Below are 7,596 nucleotides of genomic sequence, written 5' to 3'. Positions count from 1 at the left end.
TGTAAAGTATTTGTAACAAAGCCTTCGGTTGAATTCCAGACTGAGAAGTTTTACTCCTGGAGCCAAAGAAGGCTTTGTTCTGGTTGACATCATGAAACTATTTTTAGGGTCCAAGTCTGCTCTGGCAAGGGGACTGAGGGTTCACTGTCCCCTCCTCCTGCCTCCAGACCTCTTGTGCCAATGCCACCCCCATCCCTTTTCTTCCCCAGAGCTGGGCACGTGGCTGGATGTGACTAGGAAGAGATGAAGGTTTCGAGAGAATCAGTCCCTGGTGGGCTGCTCTCTCTGCATGGCTTAGAGGGGTGGGACATCACCTGACCCAAACTAGGGTAGGCAAATTCTTTTCCAGCTCCTGGAAACTGTGGTTGGGAGTTTGGAAAGAGTGAGGAAGGTCATGTGGCCTTCTTCTGACATAGGAGACATTTGGTTCTGTATCAAAAAATGTTTCTATGATGTCCTGACTTCCTTATGGACTCCTATACTCTATGTTTGCTCAGGGTCTGATACAAAAGGACAGATTTGATTTAGAAGAGAAGGAAAGGTCCCCTGAATATGGCAGTACTCCGAGTCCTATTTTATATTTGTGGAGTTCTTTGTACTTTTTCTATCAGTTTTATCCTCTGATTTAATGTGATCCCCTAACCACCCTATGCAGGATCTGGTATCCTGGTGATGGGGAAACTGAGGACCAGAGAAGATAAATCATTTTCCCAAGGTGATTTAAAGGAATAACAATCCATATTTCCCAATTCCTGTTGCATTTTTTTCCAGTAGGCTGAGCATGTTTCCCCAGCTGGAGGAGAGGGTTTCCAGGAAGAGCCTGTCCCAAGGAAGAATTTTTCTGCTTTGGCCTGGCATGACCTACCACAGGGGTAAGCTGAGCTGGGTCACATCCCTCAAGCATGCTGGGTGATCTTCCACCCTGTCACATGGCTGGGCAATGGTTCCCGGTGTTGGCAGGGCACTTCCCATTTTCTCCTTTCCTCATGGTACTCCTAGGCTAAATGTGAACCTCACAGGACACTGAGTGGTGTTTCCAAGTTGTCCTGATACCTGAGGGGCATGCAGATTTATAGGTATAAGGCCACCCCCAGGCCATGCGGTGACTTTGCATGAATTAGCAAAAGGTGCCTCCTTTAAGTCAACAGGTTCACAGCAGCGCACAGAACTTGGGAGAGGGGGCCTGATCAGCCCCACTTGGTCAGGAACCCACCAAGGAATCTTTATGCAGAGAATCTAGGAAAGAGAATAGAGCCTGGATCCTGGGCTTCCTCCTCCCTGATCATTACACAGGAGTCTGGGAAATTATCATCCACACAACAGATGTGTTCAGTTGCTTGGTGGGTGTCAACCCAATGACCACAACCAAGGAAGATTTAGCAAGGGATGTTATCACTTGTAACAAGTAAGGAGAACACCAGGTATCGTTCCCAAAGCAGTGTCTCTCTGAGTTGGGGGCTGGGTCAGGTTTTATAAGCATAGGGTAATGAGGTGTGATCTGATTGGATCTTGCAATGAGGTGATGCCAGGAGGCGGGATCTGACTGGATCCTGCCATGGGGTGACACCAGAGCTCAATCTGATTGGATCCTGGATCCTGCCATGTTGGATTCACTCCTTAATTCAGTCCCCACTCCTCAACCCCAGCACTTAGGTTCCCCGGATGGCTGCCTGCTTGGTTCAACTGGGCATGCTCAGGTTAGGGTCCATGGCAACTGAAAAACAACAACTCACAACTTTGTTACATAAAAGTTGAACCAGATTGGTCTGGTCCAGCTACAAAATCACTGGTGGGGGTGAGGGTTGGCTGAGTGGGCTCCCTCATACAGTAGAGCCTGACTAAGGAATTCATTCTCTCTTGTTTTCCAAGCTTTAAGCCTTCTGAAGGAATGAGCAGCATTTCTCACCTCCTCTCAAGGACAGCCAGGGCTCTGTGTTCCGAGAGCTGGACTTCCCTCGCCCCAGGGGAGAAACAAGTATAGGCTTGTTTTGGGGAGGAGCTGGTTTATCCAAGAGCTGGAGGACTTTCAGGTTGAAGGAGAAGGGAGGTCCATCCTGAGAAAGAGTGAGATGCCTGCACAGGAGGCTGAAGTGGTGCCAGGCTCTTTGTGAGTGGAGACCTGCGTGTACTCTGCCTCCCTACAGTGGGCTGGAGGTTGCAGGACCTTGGGTAGGATGAGTGTGGAGATGTCTGTGGCTTGAACAGGAACACTACCTCCCTTCCTGGCTTGGAAGAAGGATATTTGAAGCCGCAGAGTCTTCCCATTGAGCATCAAAGTAATGAGTACAAGGCACTGAAGAAAGGCGGCCCTTCCCCAAGTTTCCTGGATTGCGTAAACCCCAGGATGTTTTTTATGACCTGAAAGGAATTAAAAGTGACTTAAGAGGCTGAGCCAGGTTTAAGCTCATTTAGAGAAACAAAGAAATGGGTTGTTTCTTGTGCCCAAGAGTTATGGACTAAATTCATACTGTTTACAAGTTCCTCCAAAGGCTTAAAATTCACATCCAGTCAGCCCATAACCCCTCCCCGGCTGTCGTCCCATGACACACACGTGGAAGACCACTTCTCGTCTTCATCTGTGATTCCCCCAAACATAACATAGTTGGACTTTCCGTTTGGAAAGTGTTTCTTCTTTAAGGCAGCCAATTTAAAACTAAATTTTAGTCTGGCTTCACCTGTAAAATGTTTGTGGTAGAGGCGGGGGTATAGGCAGGAAAGCTCATTGTGGAATTTGCTTGTATGTCTTGAGATCCATCTTTCTTTTTTTTGAAAATGGAGTCTCGCTCTGTCGCCCAGGCTGGAGTGCAGTGGCGCAATCTCTGCTCACTGTAACCTCCGCCTCCTGGGTTCAACCAATTCTCCTGCTTCAGGCTCCCTAGTAGTTGGGACTACAGGCGTGCAACACCACACCTGGCTAATTTTTGTATTTTTAATAGAGACGGGCTGGTCTTGAACTCCTGAACTTAAGTGATCCACCCGCCTGGGTGATCCATCCTCTCAAAGTGCTGGGATTACAGGGGAGAGCCACTGTGCCCGGTCTTGAGATCCATCTTGACTTCTGGGAAACCTGGTAATATCTCTGATCCCCAAAGACACAGATTTGTGTCATGGGGCTTCTCCAGGGTGTTGAGGAGCCCTGGAATCAGTGAGAAAATTTTAAGGTTCTATAATATTGGAAAACGGAACTTGCCTAACTCTGAAAGTCTGAGGGGCAGAGCCTGGGAAGGTAGCCCCTCTGAGAACTGTGCTTCTAAATGTTCTTCTTGTCACCAAGCCTTTCTCCCCATGCCCCAGTCCTTCTGGGCAATTTGCAGCTGGGTCCTCACATGTCAGCTGGAGGATGGTGAGATTCCTGCCTCTCCTTTTTCTTGAGTACAGAAGAGGTTCTATGATGACCTGGATTCTCATCAGATCTTAAGACCACTTTAAATGAAAGGCACTGTAAGAGAAAAGTTTATTCTTTCTGCGAAGATAAAACCTGCATTAGATCCAGATTATTGCTGTCCTGCCTCTCTCCTTCCCCTGCTAAACCTGGAACCGATTCTGTGGGTGGTTTGAAATTTGAAAGAGGGAGCAGTAATTTCAATTCTATGTCCTGATGGAAAGTGTTACAATCATTTCCTCTTGGACTGAACAAAACTCAAACCAGGGTAATTTTAGATTCAGTCCACCCATGGTTATTACTCATTTTGAGCCTCTGATACAGAGAAAAAGAAGACCCCCTTTGGAACTCCTTTTCTGTTTTTGCTCTGATCTCCTCCTTACCCCACCTGGAAAACATGGATGGTCAGGAACAAATGTTGCAGGGCAAAGATTTACACCAACAGCTACCTCTGTGAAGTCCACAAGGCTGGCCGGGTCTCTCCAGCCCCCTCTCCACCAAAAGGCAGTTTGCCAAGCTGTGCACAGGGGGTCCTGTGGTTCTGACCTGCTCTGTGCCCCTGGGGCTGGCTGTGCTCTTCACCCACACCCTGGAGATGAATGTCAGGGCTCCTCCTTCTCTCTGCTCCATCTGCTCACCAGAGGCTGTGGCCTTCTCATTAGGTCTTGCTGATGGAATCTCATTTTACTTTTCTGCACCCCAAAGTGCACTCTTGAGGACCCACCAGTCCGGAGTTTCTGGCTTTCTAGAGCTGCGTAGCCAGCTGGCTGTACCCACTTCCTTGGCTACCATTGCTTGCGGCTCAGGGAATTTGTCAGCCATGGCCCCTGGGGAACGAGCTCCTGCCAAGCTCTGCTCTTTTTCAGTCTTCTCCTTGGCTCCCTCCCTCTTCCCTTAGCTCTGCACACTTTGTTTTCTCTCTTCTTCCATCCAGGCGAGGTTCCTGTTCTTTAGACAATGAGAGCCTTCATGAGGAACCAGAATCCAGAATAAGGAATAGGAGAAGGTCGCTGAAGGGTCAGGACAGTGCATTGCAGAACAATAGTCAAGGGCATTGTCAGTGCTGGCTGATGTATTGGCCAAAGGAGTCTGGACCATGCTAAAGAGTGCACAGAGGGCATGGTCAACAGGGAGAAACATCAGCAAGAAAACTGGGACATGAAGAGCTTGCCATGGTCATTTTCAGGTGAAATACTGTTGTCGAAATTTCACTCTAGACTGAGGAAGCAGTAATGGGACAATAGCTTGTCTACTGAAAATCAAGCCTTGTGGATACTGACTTGCCCTAATCTCTTTCAGCTTCTGAAAGGAGTGGTAAATGATATAGGGGGCTCCTCCCCCAGGCTTGGTTCTGTCCACCAGGGCTGGGCACTATATGGTACGGGAACCTCAGGGAAATTTATCTGGGCATTACCAGATAAATGCCACCTACATGTCTCCTCTTTCAGAAAGATTACTGGGAGAAAAAAACCTGAAAATAACCCAGGAGATTCCAAGATTCAACTAATAACCAGGAATAGTAGCAAGGAAGAGACTAAGGGAAGGCATCTAAGAAACAACATAACTGCCTGTAAAACCCGCTGATGAGTTCAGATTTTAAGAGTGATCCCCCAAAAGATGGAAGCTAAGGCCAGTCCACAGGGATGAGGTCAGGGAGACTCAGGGCCACAATGAGCTGTGGATTGTGAAATGTGTCAAACAACAAAATGGACTATTTGGAGTAAGGAAATGACAACAGAATAAAGCCAATGCCGGGGAAAGATTGTGTAATCGCTGAAGAACCTAGCCTCTTTTTGTCTTAAGAGCCAAAAGAACTTTCAAGATCATGTTGTCAGTGGTAGAGTCATTCCCCCTATTTATTATTCTCTTTTCTTGTTGACTAATAAAGCTCTCTTCCCCCTTGCCCCATTCCCAGCTTTAGCTGGATACATGACCGCTCAATTACAAACTGAATTTCCCAGCCTTTTTCACAGCTAGGTGGCAATGTGGCAATGACACCGGCCAGTGGGATATGAGCATGAGCAGAATGATGTGTGCAATTCTAGTTAAAGAGGAAAGTCCTGGGCCTTCCTTCCCCATTGCTGCTGCCTTGGATCCAGAAGCAAAAGTCACATGTTGACCCCCTAGCCTGGCTCCCTGGACCTTTTTGAGTAGAGCTAACCCACCATCCCTGAACCACTTTTAATGGCAAAACCCGCAATTACTTTTGCACCAACCTAATAATTTTAGGTTTGGTGAAAAAGAGGCATAAACTTCTTATTTAAGCCACTGTACTTTGGCATGTCTTTGTTACAACACCTTAGCCTATAAACCTTAATCAGCACACAATCTAAAGGTCTCATTTTGCAGAAGAGGGAAAGACACCCAGATATGTTTAAAAGCACTGATAAGTTATTGATGAAGTGGGACCAGAACCTATGTCAACTGTTGTGAGTATAATAACTCTTTCTATTCTACCTTCTGACTCAGAGAACACAGAGCCCATCAAATCCTAGTTACCATGTCTTTTCCACTAAAGAGAATAATCTTCAACCTGGAAATGGTGGAACAAATGTTGACCGGAAGGAAATGATGCCAAAGACAGGAAATAGAGTTTCATTTCGAATCAGTTGAGGACTCCAGATTGTCGTGTGTTTGATCAGAAGCTCAGTTAAATCACCTTCCAGGGTATGGAAAACATCAATCTTTCTGATAACTGCAGCCTGGGGAAAGTTCTTTCTTCTACAAGCCACTGGCATATTTTTATTAGGGCCAGGTCCTTCCAGCTGTAAGGTTGAGTGTATTCCTCTGTGGCTCAAGCCACAGCCTCAGGGGACGAGCTGGAGACCACGACCTGGAGGAAGACACCTCTTCCCCAAGCTTGCTCTCTGTCCACGTGTGTGCTATGGTGACGATTCTATGCCTAGATATTATTTCTTTAGATCCTCAGGGCTTTTCTGTCTTCCAGAACTCTTTTCCTTCATAAAGCTTTAGTTTGCATATGCAGAGAAAAGCTGATGATAGGAGATCCAGCAGGTTGGCCCCCAGTAAACTTCACCCATGTTCCCAGTGTGCTTAGCCCAACCCAGTGGTTGGAACCTCTGATTTTTGTGTGCCTTGATGGCAGTACAAACAGACTGGACAGGGCCAGATTTGTGATGGTGATGACCTGCCCACCATGCTGAGTCCTTGACCTGGGATGTGACTCACAAAGCCAGCCGTTCACCTTATACATTTCATGCATTCCACACCCTGACTCGACGCAAGCTCAGAAGGTCACTGTATTAGTCATCATTCTCCAGAAATGCAGAAGCAATGGTGTGTGTGTGTGTGGGTGTGTGGAGAGACAGAAAAAAAAAAAAAAAAGAGAGGAGAGAGAGAGTGATTTATTATAAAGAATCAGGCCGGGCACAGTGGCTCACGTCTGTAATCCCAGCACTTTGGGATGGTGAGGGGGGTGGATCACCTGAGGCCAGGAGTTCGAGACCAACCTGGCCAACATGGTGAAACTCCGTTTCTACTAAAAATACAAAAAATTAGCCAGGTGTGGTGGTGGGCACCTGTAATCCCAGTTACTTGGGAGCCTGAGGCAGGAGAATTGCTTGAACCCGGGAGGTGGAGGTTGCAGTGAGCTGAGATCGCGCCATTGCACTCCAACCTGCGCGACAAGGTGAAACTCCGTCTCAAAAAAAAAAAAAAATTTGCTTACATGATTATGGAGGCTGGCAAGTCCCAAGATCTGCAGGAGGCCAGCTGGAGATCCAGGAGAGCTGATGGTTTAACTTCAGTAAGTCCGAAGGCCTGAAAACTAGAACAGCCAGTGGTGTAGTTCCAGTTCAAAGGCCGATAGGCAGGAAGAATTCTCTCTTACTCAAGGGTCAGTAATTTTGTTCTATTCAGGTTTTCAACTGATTGAATAATCCCCCCATCACTCACATTATGGAGAGCAATCTGCTTTACTCAGTCTACTGATTTAAACATTAATCTCAAAACACTTTAGCAGAAACACCCAGAATAATGTTTGACCAAATATCAGGGGACCCTATGGCTCTATCAAGTGGACACATAAAACTAACCACCATAGTGGATTGTCTTGTTGTTCTCTTGGGAGGGTGTCAGGAAAGGGCATGTGGTATGTGGAAGTGGGGGGTGGAAAAGTGCATCGTTTTTGAGTGTGACATCCACATTTTGTGCAAAACACTGAACATAAATTAGAATGTAAAATTAAGAGACTC

General features: G+C 46.9%; 3 annotated features.

Moving 5' to 3' along the window:
* Positions 937–2,136: an enhancer, noted in NCBI's record as "BRD4-independent group 4 enhancer chr8:41013787-41014986 (GRCh37/hg19 assembly coordinates)". NCBI's record gives its function as "activates an origin of replication core promoter dependent on BRD2, P300/CBP, MED14 and CDK7 cofactors, and independent of BRD4, by STARR-seq in HCT116 cells {active_cell/tissue: HCT116}" and the evidence as "EXISTENCE:reporter gene assay evidence [ECO:0000049][PMID:35650434]".
* Positions 6,018–7,217: an enhancer, noted in NCBI's record as "P300/CBP strongly-dependent group 1 enhancer chr8:41008706-41009905 (GRCh37/hg19 assembly coordinates)". NCBI's record gives its function as "activates an origin of replication core promoter dependent on BRD2, BRD4, P300/CBP, MED14 and CDK7 cofactors, with strong dependence on P300/CBP, by STARR-seq in HCT116 cells {active_cell/tissue: HCT116}" and the evidence as "EXISTENCE:reporter gene assay evidence [ECO:0000049][PMID:35650434]".
* Positions 6,420–6,714: an enhancer, noted in NCBI's record as "tiled region #1363; HepG2 Activating DNase unmatched - State 8:EnhW, and K562 Activating non-DNase unmatched - State 22:ReprW". NCBI's record gives its function as "activates a minimal TATA promoter and a strong SV40 promoter by Sharpr-MPRA in HepG2 and K562 cells {active_cell/tissue: HepG2 | K562}" and the evidence as "EXISTENCE:reporter gene assay evidence [ECO:0000049][PMID:27701403]".

The sequence above is a fragment of the Homo sapiens genome, chromosome 8 (genome assembly GCF_000001405.40).
Source record: "Homo sapiens chromosome 8, GRCh38.p14 Primary Assembly".
Classification (NCBI taxonomy): domain Eukaryota; kingdom Metazoa; phylum Chordata; class Mammalia; order Primates; family Hominidae; genus Homo; species Homo sapiens.
This window is presented reverse-complemented; position numbering and strand designations above follow the sequence as displayed.